General features: G+C 40.8%; 1 protein-coding gene across 6 annotated transcripts in view; it reads left to right on the top strand.

The window, feature by feature from the left end:
* Positions 1-20262, top strand: part of PTPN14 (protein tyrosine phosphatase non-receptor type 14) — a 202903-nt gene that overhangs the window by 78702 nt on the left and 103939 nt on the right. For all 6 annotated transcript variants that reach the window (NM_005401.5, XM_017001941.2, XM_024448759.2 and 3 more), the window contains one exon: positions 7944-8271. In NM_005401.5, the coding sequence (NP_005392.2) occupies positions 8098-8271 (174 nt within the window). In that variant the 5' untranslated portion in view covers positions 7944-8097. The remainder of the gene's footprint in view (positions 1-7943; positions 8272-20262) is intronic.

Below are 20262 nucleotides of genomic sequence, written 5' to 3'. Positions count from 1 at the left end.
TTATCATCTCAGTAGTTCCATTGTATTTGTTGCAAGGAACGTGTCTGGATCTGCAATCTCTGTCTGTGAGAATACCCCCAGTATAAGACAGATCAGGGGCTAGAAAAGGAAAACTTGGGTGGTGGGAATGTTCTTTTGGAAACCCAAGTTCAATTTTTTCCCCTGAAAAAGCATGAGTCAGTGGAATAACTTAACTCTCATCCCTTTTCTCTGTAGCTTAACCCTCTCTTAAGAAGCCAGAATTCAGACCCATCTAAGGTTCCAGATTCCTTAAATGATTTGAAGAGTCACTGAGGTCATGCTGGAGACTCCTGCCCTGCCTTAATGTCAAAAAGCTAGTGATCTCAGGATTCATTCTTTCTTCATAATGACTGTGTTAGTCTGTTCTTGCATGGCTATGAAGAAATACCTGAGACTGGGTAACTTACAAGAAAAGGGATTGAATTGGCTCATGCTTCTGCAGGCTGTACAGGAAGCATGGCACCAGCATCTGCTCTGCTTCTGGTGAGGGCCTCAGGGAGCTTTCAATCATGGTGGAAGGTGAAGGAGGGGAGCAGGCATCGCATATGGCAGGAGAGGAGGGGGCAAGAGAGCGAGCGGGGTCAGGGGAGGTGCTAGACTTTACAACAACTAGATCTCGGGAGAACTCAGTATCCTGAGGATAGCACCAAGCCAGAAGGGATCCACCCCTATGACCTGAACACCTCTGATATCGGGGATTACAATTCAACATGTGATTTGGTGAGGACATATATTCAAACCATATCAATGAGAAACATTTATTTCACTTCCTGCCATGTATAAAGCTCCATGTTATGATTATAGAAGGTTACAAAGCTGACGCCCACACAGGTCTTTCCCTTCAGGACTCTGACTGGGGAGGTGAGACACACCTGAGAGTGATTGTAGGATGAGAGACTCTGTGATACACCAGGAGCTGTAGAGACATGGCCTCATGGATTTTATAAGACCAAGGGAATGTCATATCAATTTCCCCTGGGGAAAAAAAGAACAATGGGCAACACTGGATGATATACACATGCTGTTGGCTAGAATAAGAAATCTTCTTCCCACCCAGGATGGGCTCTTCAGAGGACATTTAGTCTAAGATTCTCTCCTTTATGCTTCAGGTGTCTGAGTTTGTGGGATAACCAGGTAGCCGTGGTTGGACTAAGAGAATGCATGATTCAGCATTCTACTCGGTCAGTTTTTCCATGGGATTGTCATAGCTTCATGTTAAACTCTATGCTTTGCCACCTCACCCCCCACCTTCATTTTTAACCTTTTAAAAGACTTTCTCTACAGTAGGTCAAGTACTCAATTTCCTCTTTGCACAACTGCTTGGCCATGCTTTGAGCAAACCTAGCATACTCTGAAACTATGAGAAGAGTAGGAAGGGAACTTGTCCACACTTTCTGAGTGCTCACTAGCACTGTTTTCTCATTTACTTCTCACAAATAGGTAGGGTATGTATTAACTTCATAAGTGAGTAGACTGAGGCTAAAAGAGGATAAGTACTTTGCCATTCATTCTGCCCCTCTCTGGTTAAAGCCAGTACTTGCATGAAAGTTTGTGCATGTTCCTATCCCTAATAGTAAACCTTGGTTCTTAGAACCCCTCAGCTCAACTTCAGTCGAGTGAGTATTTTTCCCTTTCTTTAGTCTTTAGTTTTCGGTTTCCAGTTGCTTTACTGAGACAAAGACCCTAGAAGTTGAAGAGTCCAGGGTTTACTGCACTTTCCCTGTCATTCCCCCTGTACTTTGTATTCCAAATTACTTTCATCACGGAAAGGTGAAAGTCTAAGTCTTTAAAAAAAAAAAAAAGATTTAGGGGGTTCAAGTGTAGTTGTTTTTTTGTTTTGTTTTTTTTTTTTTTGAGATGGAATTTTGCTCTTGTCACCCAGGCTGGAGTGCCGTGGTGTGATCTTGGTTCACTGAAACCTCTGCCTCCCAGGTTCAAGTGATTCTCCTGTGTCAGCCTCCCGAGTAGCTGGGATTACAGGCACCTGCCACCATGCCCGGCTAATTTTTATATATATATATTTTTTTTAGTAGAGATGGGGTTTCGCCATGTTGGCCCGGTTGGGCACTCAAGTGCAGTTTTTTTTTTTTTTTTTGAGATGGAATTTCACTCTTATTGCCCAGGCTGGAGTGCAGTGGCACGATCTCGGCTCACTGCAACCTCTGCTTCCTGAGTTCAAGTGACTCTCCTGCCTCAGCCTCCCGAGTAGCTGGGATTACGGGCATCTGCCACCACACCCGGCTAATTTTTTGTATTTTTAGTAGCGATGGGGTTTTACCATATTGGCCAGGCTGGTCCTGAACTCCTGATCTCAAGTGATCCACTCGCCCCGGCCTCCAAAAGTGTTGGGATTACAGGCCTGAGTCACCGTGCCTGGCCAAGTGCAGTGTTTTTACGTGGCTATATTGCATAATGGTGAAGTCTGGGCTTTTAGTGTAACCATTACCCCAATAGTGTCCCAGGCTACTTTTCTTTATAAGATGCGCCTAGGAAAAAGAGGGTTAGAAGATTGTTTTGAAATTAGAAAAAAATCACAGTATTGAAAAAAATTAGGAGTCAGCATTGTTAGCTTTATGATCTATATTTTACTTAGAAATAGAGTCTTGCTGTATTGCCTAGCTGGAGTGCAGTGGCATGATTATAGCTCACTGCAGTCTCAAATTCCTGGGCTCAAGTGATCCTCCTGCCTCAGCCTCCCAAGTAGCTGAGACTACAGGTGCACAAAACCATGTCCAGCTATTTTTATTTTTTATTTTGTAGGGTCAAAGTCTCGCTATTTTGCCCAGGCTGTTCTTGAATTCGTGGACTCAAGTGACCCTCCCACTTTGGCCTCCCAGATATGTATAGTTTCTTTAATTTCTATAAATGGGTCTCAGCAAGAGTTGCAGCTTTGTAGTATTTATTAGATATGTTCTTAAAGAATAGATCAATAAAACTATATATTAAGTAACTTATTTCTGTTTATTTTTTAAAAATAGACTCGATTTTTGGGAGCACTTTTAGGTTCACAGAAAAATTGAAAGGAAGTCTTAAAGATTTCCCACATACCCCCGCCTTTCCCCATGCGCCCCCACTATCACCATCCCCCTACTAGAGTGGTTCCTTGGTTACAATTATTGAACCTAAATTGACCCATCTCTAGCACCCAAAGTCCATAGTTTCCATTAGGGCTCACTCTGACTTTTTATTTTTAATGGACCTTTCTCTTAAAAAAAAAAATTACAGTAAATATAATGAGGGCTCTATACTTTTATCTCTTTTGAAAAACAGTTTTTATTAGGAAAATCTAAAGTGTCTAAACCTGTGACCTTTCTATGAGCATGTGGCATTTAGTTCCAGATTTTATAATGTATGTGTGATAAAATGAATATGATGGGGCCCCAGAGAGCCACATGGGGAAAGTTGGAAAGGTTCCAGGAGCCAGACTATTTAACAGAAAGGAGATGCTTAGAGTGGATTTCACATCAAGTCCATTTTATAGTGGATATTTTGCTCCCTGCTCTAATGACAAAGCAGAGGTATTCCTATTGGACATAAAATATAGGAGGGAGCTGAGTTTGAGGTGGAACTCTACGCCTGTGTGAATGGCTAAAAGATGGAATTTTAACATATGTGCAATGGCTTTTTTGAGAGCTTAAAAGTAGTGGATAAATTCATAGAATATAAAAATGTTGAAATGAAAGGGACTAAGAGATCTTCTTCTCTAATCCTATTGTTATAGATTAGTGTCAAGCAGATTGTTTACCTGGAATAATTTAGGTGTAGCCTTTCCTAAAGGTAAGAGATGCCTTAAATGAGTGCCTGAAAGTTCTTTCCAGAAGCATGGCTCTGTGGCTGTGCAAATTCTGGGTGAAAATGTCATGAGCTTTTAATGTAGGTAAATGATGTGTGTGTTAGAGGTGAAAAAAATGTGTTTCTAGCTCTGAGGAAGTTTAGTGTCAAAGTGTGCTGATATTTTTAACATAAGCTAGATTAGTGTATTAAAATAAGCACCAATGGCTGTGGGAATTCAGACAGAAAAGATTACCTGTGATATTAAGGATCAGAGAAGTCCATAGAAAGAGGCAGCATCATTTAAATTCAGCAGTGACTAGGTATGAGCATGTTTACTATCGGCATTGAGGATTGCCTTCTTTTTAACTTTTGATTATGAAAACTTTTAGGTATATAGAAAACCTAAAAGAACAGTAGAGTGAGTATCTGTATACTCACAGATTCAACAACTGTTAACATTTTGTATATTTATTTTAACTTTGAATTTATAGATGTGCTTATGTGTGTATGGTGTATGTGTTGGTTTTTCTTTTCTTTTCTTTTTTTTGTTTTTGAGAGTTTTTGCTCTGTTGCTCAGGCTGGAGTGCAATAGTGCCATCTCAGCTCACTGCAACCTCTGCCTCCTGGGTTCAGGTGATTCTCCTGCCTCAGCCTCCCGAGTAGCTGGGATTACAGGCACACACCACCATGCCTGGCTAATTTTTGTATTTTTGGTAGAGACTAGGTTTCACCATGTTGGCCAGGCTGGTCTCAAACTCTTGACCTCAGGTGATCCACTGGCCTTGGCCTCCCAAAGTGCTAGGATTACGGGCGTGAGCCACCGCACCCAGCCGTATGTGTTGGTTTTGCAAAAAAACCATTGGAAAGCAAGTTACAGGCATCATGACTTCTTTACCCCTGCTATATCCACTGGCATCTCTTAACACAATTCCATCTATTCTCCTACATAACCACAATTCTATCAAAATCTGAAGAAAATTAATAAAAATACATTAATATCATCTAATTTCTGTTTTTCAAACTTCCCTAATTATCTGTATCTTTTACAGCTATTTTTTTTTTCACACTTGGATTTAGTCAGGGTTCACACACTACATTTTGTTTTCATAATTCCTAAATCTCTTTTATTCTACAGCAGCCTGTACGGCCTCCCCCTCCTCATGCCCAATTTTTGTTTCATGACATTGACTTTTAAAAGGACCAGACCAATTTTCTTACATTTTGTTGATACCGTATCTTGCAAGTATTTTTGTCAACTGGAGATTTTAAAAGTCTTTTAGAAATCAAAATGTGTATTTTCTAGGAGATATATTACCAGATTATCTGCTAGCCATGAATATAAAGCCATCGCTCCTGATACACCATTTTCAGTAGATAATGTACTTTAAAATAATCTTTATTTACAAAAATAATATAAGGCAGCTGTAAGATGCTAGAACAATGTAGAAATATCTAAGGTTAGAATTCTATTTAATATCAAGTAGCTCTGAGATAATAATTTTGCCAAACTTACATTCTTTCCTCTTTGTGTTTTTGTATATCATAAAAATTCCAATCATCTATACATGTTGTTTAAAGTTTACTTTTTATTTCACTAGTTATGCATTGCAAATGATATCCCATAGAATATGTAGTAGAGATTGTTTTTGCTGGGATAAATGCGTACCAAGCCAGCCACATTCTTTCCTAGGTGTTTACAGTGAGACACACCCAAATGTAAAGTGCCTGGCTCAGGGTTAGAAATGTGGCTTGTGCCCACAGAGCAAATATTTTTCTCTGTTTGAGGCTCTCTGGTTAATGCAGGAATTGAATCTTGGCCTCTTGTGTTCTGTGCTTTAATAAGTTGAGGGGAATTCATGAGTAGTAAACATCTAAGGGCTGTCTATTTGAATTTTGGCTTCCCCCCACTGTTTTTCTTTGGGTTGGGGGTGGGTGGGTCATTTCATATTCTTTTCTGTACCTATCAAGAAATCAGATTGGCTTACCTTAGAGGTAAACATGATACTCTGCCAACATAAAGTGATTTAGAAATGTTAATATATTTTACCAAGCCAGAGTTTCTAGCATATGTATTTTAAGCCGTCATAAAACATATACCTGTCATGTTAAGGAATGTGCCCACGGCAAGTATCAAAGACCTGCTGTGGGAGGCTGAGGAGTGTGTTTTGCTATGTTGCAGGGTTATAACCTGACAACCTCCATGAGGCATGAGTACTGGCAGGGAGTGGTTTATAAATATTGAAGCTATTTTATTTATTACTTTAAGAATTCCTACAAGTAGTAGCTATTCCTATTTGTACATCCAAGTGTCTTGGGGCTCAGGGGGTAATCCTGTGTCGGCAGATGGATGAAGAGTGTAAATCCTAGTGGATCTGCCTGAGTTAGGGAATCAAGTTAACAAAACAATCAGATGAGCAAGAGATAGTCTGTTGGGCTTAATGGAGAACAGAACATTTGGACAGAAAAGTTTTCTGGACATTTCTGGCTTCTTTGAAAGACAAGTTTAATGAGCCTCCCAGCAAGATTGCTGGCTCAGGGTGGAGCAATAAGGCCACTTTTGTTGTTATTTTATTCTTGTGTTGTCCATGGCAATAATGTCATCATTTTCATTTGGTGGGACATCAGGGTGTCAGTAAGTCTTGTTACTATAATAGTAAATTAAATTATCTGTGATTTGGTTACAGGACTTTTGCATCAAGATTTTGTAAAGGAACAAGATGATGGTAGGGTGGTTCCCCACATCTGTCTAAATATTTGTTAAAAAAAGGACAAAGAGTTGTGATTTTTAAGTGCTTTGAATAATTCATGTCTTTCCATTAAAGAAAAAAAAAAAAGGAAGTAACTGGCCGGGTGCGTTGGCTCACGCTTGTAACCCCAGTACTTTGGGAGGCCAAGGCGGGTGGATCACATGAGTTCAGGAGTTCAAGACCAGCCTGGCCAATATGGTGAAACCCCGGCTCTATTAAAAATAAAATTAAAAAAATAGCCAGGTGTGGTGGCGGGTGCCTGTAATCCCAGCTACTTGGGAAGCTGAGGCAGGAGAATCTCTTGGACCTGGGAGGCGGAGGTTGCACTGAGCCAAGATTGCACCACTGCACTCCAGCCTGGGCAACAAGGTGAGACTCCGTCTTCACAAAAAAAAAAAAAAAAAAAAGGAAGTAACTGATTATATTAAATGCATATTGCCACCACTTTATCATTCATTCTAAGTAAATAATAAAACATAAGACATGAAAATAAAAGTAAATAATGTTAATAAGAGTAAAGAGGCAGTGTTACAAAGAGTGAGGAGGAACAAGATCAAATTTTAAATTCAGTGAGGCACTTAAGTCATTAAACCTTACTTTTTTCATCTGTAAAATAGACACCATAGGGTTGTTCATGAAGTTGGAATGAGACAATATATTTAGAAATTTAAAAAACAAAACACCAGTGTTCAAGTTCCACTCCTAGTGGGCTTTTTAATTTAATTTAATTTTTTTTGTTTGAGACAGAATCTTACTCTGTTGCCCAAGCTGGAGTGCAGGCATGATCATGGGTCACTGCAGCCTTGGCCTCCCAGGCTCAAGAGATCCTCCCATCTCAGCCTCCCAAGTAGCTGGGACTACAGGCACACGCCATCATGCCTGGCTAATTTTTATTTATTTATTTATTTTTTTGTAGAGACAGGGTCTCATTGTGTTGTCCAGGCTGGTTTTGGACTCCTGGGCTTAAGTAATCCTTCCGCCTCAACCTCCCAAAATGCTGGGATTACAGGCATGAGCCACCACGCCCAGCCTCCTAACACTTTCTTGAGTGGACAGCATTGCATAGTGAAAAACGCATGTGAACTGAAGTTACGTAGACATTGGTTTAAATTCTGGCATTGCCATTTACACTGTGCACCTGTGAATGAATGCTTTAATCTCTTTGAATCTTCCTTTCTTCAACTGTAAAGTAGCTTTTATCGTATCACCCTTGTAAGATAAGGCATAGGGCATGGGCTCTGCCAAGACACTTAGGAACTCCAGAACTTGCAGCTTATCAAACCTGAGTGTTGATCTGTTTGGCGGGGTGGGGGGGGGGGGGGGCTTCTGTGTGTGTGGAATATGGTACCATTGATAGGTCCCTTCTGGAGCATGACCATGGCATTTCTTTTGCATTTACAGCTATCTTCCAGAGGGCCACACTGGGCATGGACACCCTTTTCCCTGCCTGGAGGAGCACAGGTGATAGTGTAATTTTCCAGTCACGAAACTGCTAAGGCCATCTCAGGGGCGTGTGCGCCAGGATAGGCGGGCGGCGTCCGAGGACCACATAGCCATGCCTTTTGGTCTGAAGCTCCGCCGGACACGGCGCTACAACGTCCTGAGCAAGAACTGCTTTGTCACACGGATTCGCCTGCTGGACAGCAATGTTATCGAGTGCACGCTGTCGGTGGAAAGCACAGGGCAAGAATGCCTGGAGGCTGTGGCCCAGAGGCTGGAGCTGCGAGAGGTAAGAGGGGTGTGTCTGTGTGCGCATGTGCGCGTGCATGCGTGTTGGGTATGTGAAGGAGAACTCACCGAAGGGACCAGCCATCTGTTTTTTGGCATCTGTTGTGTTTTTTGGCCTAAGCGACGATGTGTTTATAAGAATCCTGTTATTCTTAGCACGGCTGTGATCTTATCCATCATTGGATGGGGAGACTTGAACACCGCCTAGAGCTGCATGGCGTGGCAGGTTTCCTTTTATTTCAGCTGGGGAAGAGGTTTTGGGGGAGTTGAAAATGAGAGACTCTCCCCACCAAAGTCATCTTCTCTCTTTAAAACAATTGAGTGGGTAGCTGGTATTTTGGCATTCTGGCTGCACATTAAGGAGAAAAAACGCCCACATACGGATGCATGCAGCTGCCTTTTTTTTTTTTTTTTGGTTGTTTCTATATTTTCCTCTAAAAAAAAAAAAACCCCACCGAATAAAGAGAAAAAGCATTTAGAGTGAGCATGACCAGTGAGGCTTTTTGTGGGAGCCTGTAAAACAGAGGTTTTCTTCTTTTTAAGATTCCTCACAGCCCTCGTTGCCTTCACGCCGTCTGTGAGATGGCTTTTAAGCAAAAGCAGGGCTGACCACTTAGAAAGTCATGCTATCACTCTTTAGAAGGGACTTTCAGAGCAGTATGTTGTTTTTGACAGCCAAGCCCTTCTTTTTTCAGTCATACAGACGTTTAGGACAAGAGACTTTTGTGAGCAATCCACACTTCAGCATCTGTGTCTTGAGAGCTGTCTGACATATTGAGCAGTGGGGAAGGTGGTATGGTTGAGTGGTTGCCAATACTGAATGACTGCAAGCCCCTGAGGCTGAGACATTCCTGAGGGCAAGGAAAAGCTGTGGGTAATTGTCCTAGGTCCCTGGGCTCTTGGAGAGTCCAAGTGACAGCATTGCCCAGGACCTCGATGACAGAAGAGGGGTGGCAATCACTGTTGGAAGTGATTGCATGTGGCCTCTCTCCACCTGCTTACAAAGGAATGGGGGCCCAGGAGGGTCTTCCTCTCCCCTTTCCTGCTCTGAAAGTCCCTTCTAAAGACGTCTTCCACAGGCTGGCTGTTTTTCTCAGGGAAACTGTTTCACCTGAAATGCATCTGTCTCCTGCTGTTCTTGGTGTTTATACTTTGGTTTCAGTGATCAGGTATTCCTTTTAGGTATATTTTTCTGTGCAGGAGACTGTCTTGGACAATGGATATATGTATTAGTAGCTTGGTAACTGCCACAGTAGAATAAATATGTGAAATGTTCTCATCTTGTTGATGGGTAGCTGGCTCTCTTTTTCTCGTTGGTATCACATTAGGATACACACATTTAAACACACATTTGCATGTATGCATGGGCATAAAGGAAAAACAAATACTGATTGGGGAAGAGACTTGTCTAAGTTCTTATAGAAAACTAGTATTTTTACTTTTAAGTACTTCCAGTCACTCAAATTAGAGCAACTAATTATTCCTCATATGCATCGGGGGACAGTGTAGCATGTGGTTACAAGTATAGGCACTGGACTCTTGGTCTTGGGTTCAGCTTACTCTTCTGTCATTTATTAGCTGGGTGACAATGGAAAAGTTACTGAGTCTTTTGAGGCGTAAGTTTCCTACCTATAAAATGGCAATAATAATGCTTACTTCACAGGGCTGTTGTAAATATTAAAAGAGTTCCTGTATGGAAAATGTATAGTGCTGTGTTTAATAATTTATAATTGTTCAAATTTGAGAGTCTTAATAAACAACTTAAAAAAAACCCATTTTTTGTTAAAGAAAATATTGAACAACCATCTTGTGCCAGGCACTTTTTTAGAACTTGGTGAAATGAAGATAAATAAGGTACAATTTTACCTTCAAGACATGCACAGAACAATAGGGGAGTCCAGCCTTTAAATAAACAGTTAATATCAAATGTGGTCCAAGCTAAAATAGAATGCAGGGGTAGGCCCAAAAGGCGATGGCTGTCCTTAGTGTTGTGCAGTGTGCAATCCAGCCCACTGAACACTGCAGTCTTGCTGGTGAGAGTGAAAGAGTTGATGGAAGATGAACATAGCCTTCACTCTGAACCAAAACTTGAAGGACATGTATCAGTCCAGCAGGTAGAAAAGAAGGCCATGTCATCTTTAGTGTGGGGGACTGGATTATCAAAGATCCAAGGATGTGAAAGAGCAGCCAACATTTTGGGGGCTGAGAAGGCATCCCTCTGAATCACCAGGTCAAGCTAGAGTTTATAACAAATGGTGGGAGGTGTGTGGAGATGTGTATGGTAATAATGGCTTTCAACAGACTATTGGTTTTCTCAGTGAGAAGGCAAAAGTCAACCCTGGATCATCCCACAACTACCTTATCACAAAGAATAAAGCAGTGCATTGCCAAGTGTGTGCCGTAGTGTGATTGACATTCCATTGCTGAGGTGGGGTTTGTGTTTAATACTGACTTTATTTTGACACGTCCTAATGGGTGCATCCGCATTCGACCAAATCACTTTCTTTTTGAATTTTATGCTTTCCTTCCATGACAGATAACATTGAAGTTGTGCCCTTTTGGGAATCAGTCCTCTAGATACTCCTGAATTAAAGGATCAGATAGAGTAATCTGATACTTTGTTCTTCTTTTGCACACACACACCTTAAAGAAGAATGCATCCTCTATCCAAAAGCAGAAGTAAGAGGAGGTGAACTCAAGGTCTGCTCCTCATACCTTGAATTTGTATTTGGGTCATTTTTCAAATAGAGCCGATGCTGCTTTAGAGGAGAAGGTGACAACCAATCTAAGATATAACAAAAAGTTTAGTCTTTTTTGGGAGGGGTGTTGGGGCCTAACTCTATTGCACAAGATGGAGTGCAGTGGCATGATCATGGCTCATTCAGCCTCCACCTCCTGGCTCACGTGATCTTCCTGCCTTGGTCTCCCAAAGTGCTGGGATTACAGGTGTGAGCCACACACCCAGCCAAAATATATTTAATCTTTTTTTTTTTTTCCAGTTGAGACAGGATCTTGCTCTATTGCCCAGACTGGAGTGCACTGGTACGATCATGACTCACTACAGCCTCAACCTCCTGAGCTCAAGTGATCCCACCTCAGCCTCCCAAGTAGCTGAGACTACAGGCACATGCCAACATGCCCAGCAAATTTTTAAATTTTTTGTACGGATGGGATCTCACTGTATTGCCCAGGCTGGTCTCAAACTCCTGGGCTCGAGTGATCCTCCCGCCTCAGCCTCCCAAAGTGCTGGGATTATAGATGTGAGACACTGTGCTCAGGGTAATATGTTTAGCCTTTATGAAGTCTTGGAAACTAGATTATGGTGGATATTTGGCTTTGCCATTAGAAGTAGTTTAGGTATATCATAAATTTTGTAATAGCTTTATATTAGGAAAGGATGTATGGTGGATTAAAATTTTTTTATTAAATTTTTTATTTACATTAATTGTTTTGCCACTAAATTTTATTAGATAATTTTTAATACTTTATTTTTACTTTTAAGACTTTGATTTCTTAGAGCAATTTTAGATTCACAGTAAAATTGAGAGGAAGGTACAGAGAATTTCCATATACCCCTGGCCCCGTGCATGTACACCCTCCCCCACTGTCAACATCACCCCCTGAGTGGTACATTTGTTATGATTATTGAACCTACATTGACACATCATTATCATGCAGAGTCCGGAGTTTACATTAGGGCTTACTTTTGGTGTTGTACATTCTGTAGGTTTGGACAAATATGATATGCTGCTATTTAACATGGCTTTCAGAAGGATCCAGGCCTGGTTCCTATTGTCAGCAAACAGTCATGCTCTGGGAAAGCTGAATGTGCTAGGGTCCCTGCTCCCAGAAACCAGATAGGGTCTTTGCTCCTAGAGTTTAGAGAACAGGACAAACAAGAAACAAAGCAAGGGGAACTGCTTGTGCTGCGGTACAGAAACAGGAAAGAACATGGAATTTTCAGGGAAAGGCGGAATTCAGTTTGCACTGATGTGTGTGTGTGTATGTGTGTGTGTGTATGTGTGTGTGTGTGTTAGAATTTTCAGGGAAAGGCAGAGTTCAGTTTGCACTGATCTGTGTGTGTGTGTGTGTGTGTGTGTGTGTGTTGGAATTTTCAGGGAAAGGCAGAGTTTGGCTTGCATTGATCTGTGTGTGTGTGGAGGGGAATTTTCAGGGAAAGGCAGAGTTCAGTTTGTTTGCACTGATGTGTGTGTGTGTGTGTTGTGTATGTGTGTGTATGAAAGGGTCATGGAAGGGAAGGAGGGTAAAGGAGGAAGGGGCAGGATGGAGTCTGCTTTTGAAGGGTTTGCTGTGTCTGCCTAGGGAGTTTTAACTAGATCTATAGGATAGTATTTCTAAAATAAGTTACAAAGGATAATTACCACCTTTTGATTGTATATACTCTGCTGAGCAGTTTCCATATATCAGCTCATGTAGTTCTCATAACAAGTCTGATGTGTCCCTACTCTTGCTGTTCCTATGTTACAGATGGGGAGGCTGCAGCATAGGGTGACCTGCCCACAGTCACTGGGCTGGTAAGTTGTGAGGCCGGTTCAAACCCTGGCAGCTGACGCCACTGTTCCAGTTCCCAGAGACTTGTAGTGGGGGAGCAGGGAGTATGGTAAAATGCTTTGGGAAACATTCTTTCCTCAATTCTGTAGTAAAAGAAAGAAAACGGTGTTCCAGTAAGTGTTTCACAGTTATCTTAGCCTTCCAGAAAATACTCTTTTGAACTATGTGGGGAATAAAACATTGCTGTGAAGTGTAAGGTCATCAGAGGACTCCAAGGAGGAGCATGACATAGTTACCTTGCATGTTAGGTAAAGAACTCAGTAGCACTCAGTAGTAGAAAAGAGTGGGGATCGGCCAGGCGTGGTGGCTTGCGCCTGTAATCTCAGCACTTTGGGAGGCCGAGGCAGGCGGATCACGAGGTCAGGAGATCGAGTCCATCCTGGCCAACATGGTGAAACCCCGTCCCTACTAAAATACAAAAATTAGCTGGGCGTGGTGGCACATGCCTGTAATCCCAGCTATTTGGGAGGCTGAGGGAGGAGAATCACTTGAACCAGGGAGTTGGAGGTTGCAGTGAACCAAGATCGCGCCACTGCACTCCAGCTTGGTGACAGAGTGAGATACTGTCTCAAAAAAAAAAAAAAAAGAAAGAAAAGAGTGGGGATCAGCTGGGCACAGTGGCTCATGCCTGTAATCCCAGCACTTTGGGAGGCTGAGGCGGGCAGATCGCCTGAAGTCAGGAGTTCGAGACCAGCCTGGCCAACATAGTGAAACCCCATCTCTACTAAAAATACAGAAATTACCCGGGCAAGGTGGTGCATGCCTGTAATCCCAGCCACTCAGGAGGCTGAGGCAGGAGAATCGCTTGAATCTGGGAGGTGGAGGTTGCAGTGAGGCGAGATTGAGATTGTGCCACTGCACTGCAGCCTGGGTGACAGAGTGAGACTCTGTCTCAAAAAAAAAAAAAAAGAAGAAAAGAGTGGGGATTGGAGGCGAGGAACAGAGATGCCAGTGGGCACAACTGTAAACCTGGCAAGAGGTCATGAGATGAACTGCTTAGGAAAAGTGTGTTTTCATTGTTTTAAAGATGAGGGAAAAATCAGGGATAAGTTGCTGCTTGGGAGCTCTATTAACAAAGACAATTCCAGAGATATAGGAAGCTCAGAAAATCAGAATTCCAATAATGTCATTATAATATGTCTGCATCAGTGGGTTTAACCCTTTTCTGCAAATCTTTGGTGGAGCATGGATGTGTAAATGGAGCTGGGCCTTTTACAGAGGAGATAGGATATCTGGAGCCCTATCTCAGTTTGAAAATAACTAGCCTAGGTTAAGGGAAAAAGAGCTAAAACAATGGTGCCTTATGACTAATTCTCACGGTTTAAAAAAGAAGTACATGAAAACACAGCAGAGTTTAGTGGCTAGGAATGTCAGCTTGGACCAAACTGCCTGAGTTTGAATCCTGGTTCTGCCATTTACTAGCTATGTAACCTTAAATAGAAGTACCCTGTGCCTCAGTTTTCTTATCTGTAAAATGGAGATGGTAATAGTAGCCACCTCTACAAATTGTTGGGAGGATTCAGAGAGTTAGTTTTTCATAGTTGCCACAGTCTCACAGTGCCTGGCATAGGAAGCACTCGATGTGGCTGCCTTCTTTGCAAAACACCACCCAAGCCATCCAGCCTCTGCCATGACACTTCCAGAGACTGGGCTGTCACCCTTTTGTAAGTCTGCTTGTTCCATTTTTAGATGACTTTAATTATTAGAAACTGGGGCCAGGCCTGGTAGCTCACAACTATAGTCCTAACACTGGGAGGCCAAGATGGAAGGTCACATGAGCTCAGGGGTTCAAGACCAGCCTGAGAACATAGTGAGATCCATCTCTACAAAAAAAATAAAAAATTAGCCAGGCATGGTGATGCATGCCTGTAGTCCCAGCTACTTGGGAGTCTGAGGCAGGAGGATCCCTTGAGCTCGGGAGAATGAGGCTGCAGTGAGCTATTAACATACTACTGCACTCCAGCCTGGGTGACAGAGTGAATCTCTCTGTCTCTCTCTCTCTATCTCTCTCTCTCTCTCTAGGTATAGATATAGATATAGATATAGATATAGATATAGATATAGATGAAACTGTGATCTTATATTGAGTTAAAATAGCAAAGTCTTTCAGTTCCTCGAACAGCTAGGATTAATTTAAGGTTGTGCTGTCCAATATGGTAGCCACATGTGGTTATGGAACACGTGAAATGTGGCTATTTTGAACTGAAATGTGTGGTAAGTGTAAAAACACATCAGATTTTGAAGACATAGTATGAGAAAACTAAAATACTCATTAATTATATGTATGTTTGAGTACAGGTTGCAATGATATTTTGAACGTGTTTTAAATAATATTTATTAAAAGTAATTTCACTTTTGGTACTTTTAAATCAATGTGGCTTCTAGAAGATTTAAAATTAAATATGTAACTCACATTTGATTTCTGCTGAACAGTGCTATTCTAAGAAACGCAAAGGGGGCATTTAATGGTAATAGTGAGTATAAGCATCCTAATAAAATGTAAAAATATGCTAGAATAACCTTGGCTCTACTTTTAACTTAACAAGTGGAAGAAGGATAAATGATATAACAAAGGCACCTGAGATACCCTTCAGTTCATTGGTAAACCCTATTTGAGGTAGAGAACTGCTGTGAGGAAATCCAGCGCTCTGGAGAATGGTGACTTTCATAACTCTCGGCTCTCTCCTAAGGCTAAGCCTAAGAGCCTTGGTTTTTAAAAGAGTGTAAAAAAGCTTTTAAAAACCAAACTATAATCATTTCAAAGAGTAAGTCCTTATCCTCTAATTTATCCCCTTTTTCTTTTGCAAATTTATATTTTGATCTTTACTAAAAGCTGTTTTACCCAAAGCTATCACTACAGTAGAAATTTTCCACATTTTGCTATTTTCATAATGACTAGAGATTATAAAGATAAGAAACTTAACATGCATTTCCTATTATCACATAAAAGTTAACTTACATGAAGAATATTTCTGTGGTTTGATTTCATGCTAATCTTTTGGCAATTAATAATTTATGTGGGATTTGGGGGGTACTCAATTAAATGCAACACCTCATGCCCTGGCAGATAATAGTGGAATTCTGCTGTATTTTATAGCTTGTTTAATCACGTCAGTATATATGTGTATTTGCAAAGGATTAAAATAATCAATGCTGATTAAGAATCGACTGAAGAGTAGACTGCTGGGGGAGATTTCTCATCTTTAAGTTTTGTGTTGCTTTTTGTCTTTGTAAAAATGACAGTGTGAAACATTATTAGCTTAATGTCAATCCTAGAATGTAATGGCACCGGCATCTCCATTTTCTAGGTATAGAGATTGTGGGTGAACTATTCGCCAGTCTTAACTTGTACGTCTTCATCTTTCTGTGTATTCTAGGTGAGTCGTACAGTCTCAGAAGAGTGGTTTTTCTTGGCTATGGGACTTGCTTCTTGGGTCTGTGTTACTCTGCATTTTCTTTTCATGTACTTTTATAAAGAGATTGGCTAGGAAAATGAAGAGGGTGCAGTTGTTAATTATAGATGTGTCAGTTATAGAAATCTCAGACCTACCCAGAGTAGAGGTTGATTACACACAAGTTCTTTTCTACCGTTATCCAACTGATGTACAGTGGCTTATTTTCCAAAGCCATTGGAATGTAATTGCATGAAGTGCTATTTCAGAGTCTGCTTATAGTCATCTTTTGAAGTATTTTCCATGCCTCAGTGAAACTGTTCGTGCTTGTATAATATGTAATTCATATATTTTATGTGGAAGCACACCATTTCTTAATTTACAGCTGAAATATTGGGTAAGATAGGCAACCTATTACAACTTAATGCAAGATATTTTAAACTTTTGCTTCTGGATGAGTAACTCTTCAAAATGCTTGAGATAAGATCATGGCTTTAATCCTTGGTAATTGCCAAGACTGCATCTAAACCTCTTACAAATAGCATTAGTCTGTGCCATTGTCACAAAACTGGAAAAACAAAACCCTCAAAAAATATTTCCCTTTTAATAGCTAAGGTGGGGGATTATACCATCTCTTTACAAATAAATGAACAAACAAATAAAAACCACCCCAAACTACTTTTTAATAGATTTTATTTCTTTAGAGCAGTTTTAGTTTCACAGCAAGATTGAGCAAAAGGTACGGAGAGTTCCCATAATGTCCCCTGCCCTCAAAACTACTTTTAAGGGCCCTTATTCTCTAGAATCTTTCCATAATACCAAAAGATGGACATTTTGACGCTGTAGTATCCACACACCAACCTGCCACTGAAGAAACTAGCCGATTTTTTAGTATATGCTTAAATGTATGTTTCCTGTGTTAAAATGCAGTACACCAAACCAAATAAATGAGGAAGCTGCTCACATAAAAATGACATTTTAGTGTGGCTTTCCCTACTTGGTTTCATCGTAGTGCATTTTTTGTAAGTGGTTCAGGGATGTGGTTCTTGTGTCTGAGGACTGGCTCTTCTGTCTTCTTTTCTCATCATTGCAGTAAACTTATTGCAGAACTCATGGCACCAGAGCTGTGTGTTCTAGTTTTCTTAAGAAAACTGGAGCAATAAAATGGGATTCATACCTCACCCAGAGGAGGTATCATGAGGATTAAATGAGTCTGGCTTACTTTTGGTGCCTGAGATATAAACAGAACAGATATTTCAGGCATTTACTCAGGTAATATGATGGGATCCTCTTGGTGTCATGGAGAAGGTGGTTTCTATTTGCAATCATCCACCATGCTTTCTTCAACCATGTGGCAATGTTTAGCAGCTAAGCTCAGCTTTCAAAATTGAGCTAGAGTTTAAATTGGCAAGTTAACCACAAACCAGCCTGGTGGGGTCTCAGCTGGGCTTGACAGGATTAGTAGTTCCTTGGATAATACACAGGAAGTTGATTGGTGCACATGCTAGTTGAAATGAGAGCCTAGGCTCTGATTCCATTTCCTGTGAGGCACTGTGTAGACGTGGGAGAATAAACATGTGCTGTATTGGACTTTCAAGGCAGGGTCTTTCTACTCCAGAGTAGGAAAATAGCTAGAGGAAGAACGGGAGGAGTAGGGTGGGAATGGAAAAGGTTACTTTGGGCATAGCTTCAAAAATCAGGGTGGGGATGGACTTTTCTTCCTGCTAGAGAACTGAATTTGACAGTTCTAAAGTTAGGATGTTCTGGCTGTGAGTAGATACAAACTCTGTCCTCCAGATTACCTGCCTCCCCCAATTCTGCCCTGCACTGGACACCCCGTTTCTTCCATAGTTATGTAATTATTTCACTGGATAATTACCTGGTGAGTCACCCTGAAATATTCTGTGTCCTCTGGAAGGTGCTGTACAACAGCAGTGATAAATTTATGCCATGAATTAGGTTTTTCTATTAGAAGTGGTTTACTTTGTTATTTAGAGCTCTGGCTCAAGATTATTGCCTTACTATCATTTCTCTTGTACCTCATCATCCTCCTCAACATATCCATATGTGTGTATGCACAGGAGTGTGTGTATGTGCAGCTGTAGTGTGCATTTTGTGTGTGTTGTATGTGTGCACATACATGTTCGTGTGTATATATTCCATGGAATATTCTTTCTCTGAGGGATTTCTGGGGTGGAGGTCAGGTCTGGTTTAATGATCTGGATGGATGGGAATGAGAAAAGGAAATTTAAAATAGCTTTCAAGACACAGAAGCAATAAAAATTTTAACCGTTTTTTAAAATCGATTGTAGAACATTTATGCAGTTACTGTGGCCCTCTATAATTTGAATATTACTAATTTGAATGAAGTGTGGACCATAAAAATATCTCCCAAATGTCAAAACTACTTTTAGTGAAAGATGATAAATCATGGTTAGCCTGTTAAGCAATTGTGAAGTTGCCCTCTGTTTCTCCACTAATGCTTATAAAAGGGCTCTTTTCCAACTTTAATAATTGCTGCATAGCATGTTAATTACATATATTACATAATTTATTATATGGAGACTCACTCCTAGGCATCCAAAATACCGTGGAATACCCTCATACAGCCCTGTGTTCCATACAGGAATTCAGTATAATGCAGAGCTACTTTGGACCCTTTTCAGATAAGTTTCTTGAATTGAATACCCAAATGACTTCATGTTAAGGTTAGCTTAAGCCTACATCATAGATCTCAGAGGATAGCATCAGAGTGATGTTCCAGTGTCCCAATATCATCTCTCATGAGATCCTCAAAATCTTAGTGGAGGTATAGCTTTGTGATTTTTTTCCTTACATCTTTTAAATATTTATGTTATTTGTAGATGTTCCAGCTTCTACCTTTGCCTGCTTTTTCTCATTGACTCCCAGATAACCTCTGTTTCCTGATTCTCTGGTTCACAGAGATGTCAGTAGTGCTGATGAAAAAGATTTATGAGGTTTACCTGCTTTGATTTACTGATGATGATGATGGTGGTGGCGATGGTGGTGGTGGTGGTGGTAACAGGAGTAGTAGTCGTGCAGCCGCAGCAGCAATAGAAGGTACCACTTATGATGTAGTTACTTACCATGTGCCATGCAGGTGATTGACAGGCATTATCTCATTTACACCTCTCAGAGCCTGTGGGCAAAAGTTGTAACCATCATCTCCATTTTGCAGAGGAGAAAACTCTGAGAGTCTAGAAGGCTCAATGACTTGTGTAAAGTTACTGAGACAGTGAGTGCAAAAGATGGGAGATGGACTGACCTCCAAGTCTGTTTTCTTTCTATTCAGCCACATTTCATTTCCTCTATGTCATCACTCAGGTTGGAACAACTAATGGACTCAGTGGAGCTAGGAAATGAATAATAGGGTCAGAATTCATCCAAGTAAGTTTGTCTAAGTTGATAGAAATATAACCTTGGCTCTGGTTGGCATTTTGTTGCTCAAGAAATGCATAGATTTCTGATGTGAACTTGTCCTTTGGAACATCATGGGAGAAAGCTAATCAAATCATTACCCCCATCTCAAAGTAAATCCATTTAAAATATCTTTAAAGCATCTGGGTCTGCAGCTTTATATAGGCAAGGGCACGTCTGGTTTTCTAGTAAAGTCAGAGTCATAGCTTCATGAGAGATTTTGGTGGGGTTGTGGCAGGGATTGATCTGTATAATGTTGAGGGGGCAGCCAGCTGGAGTGGGAACATCAGCATAAGAATGCCTTTGGAAATTGAACATTGTAATGAAAACATTCTTTTGAAGGCAGATTTCCAGGTGTGCTGTAAACCATTCTAGGCTATAATTGAGATATAAAAGAATCTTCAAAAGCAGTGATCTATTTTTTGGTGATTGTTGTGCTAATCCTGAAATCCTAGCATGAATTAATATAAAAGATGGGATTGGGTGCATAAAAGTACCTGTTTTAATCATTTAGCATGTTGTTCAAAACTAAACTGGTTTAGGCTTCAAGTCTAAGGGCGAAAATCTCACTTTCATCTAACAAATCCCAC

The sequence above is a fragment of the Homo sapiens genome, chromosome 1 (assembly GCF_000001405.40).
Source record: "Homo sapiens chromosome 1, GRCh38.p14 Primary Assembly".
Classification (NCBI taxonomy): Eukaryota; Metazoa; Chordata; class Mammalia; order Primates; family Hominidae; genus Homo; species Homo sapiens.
Note: the sequence above shows the minus strand (reverse complement) of the source record. Positions and strands in the feature narration are given on the sequence as shown.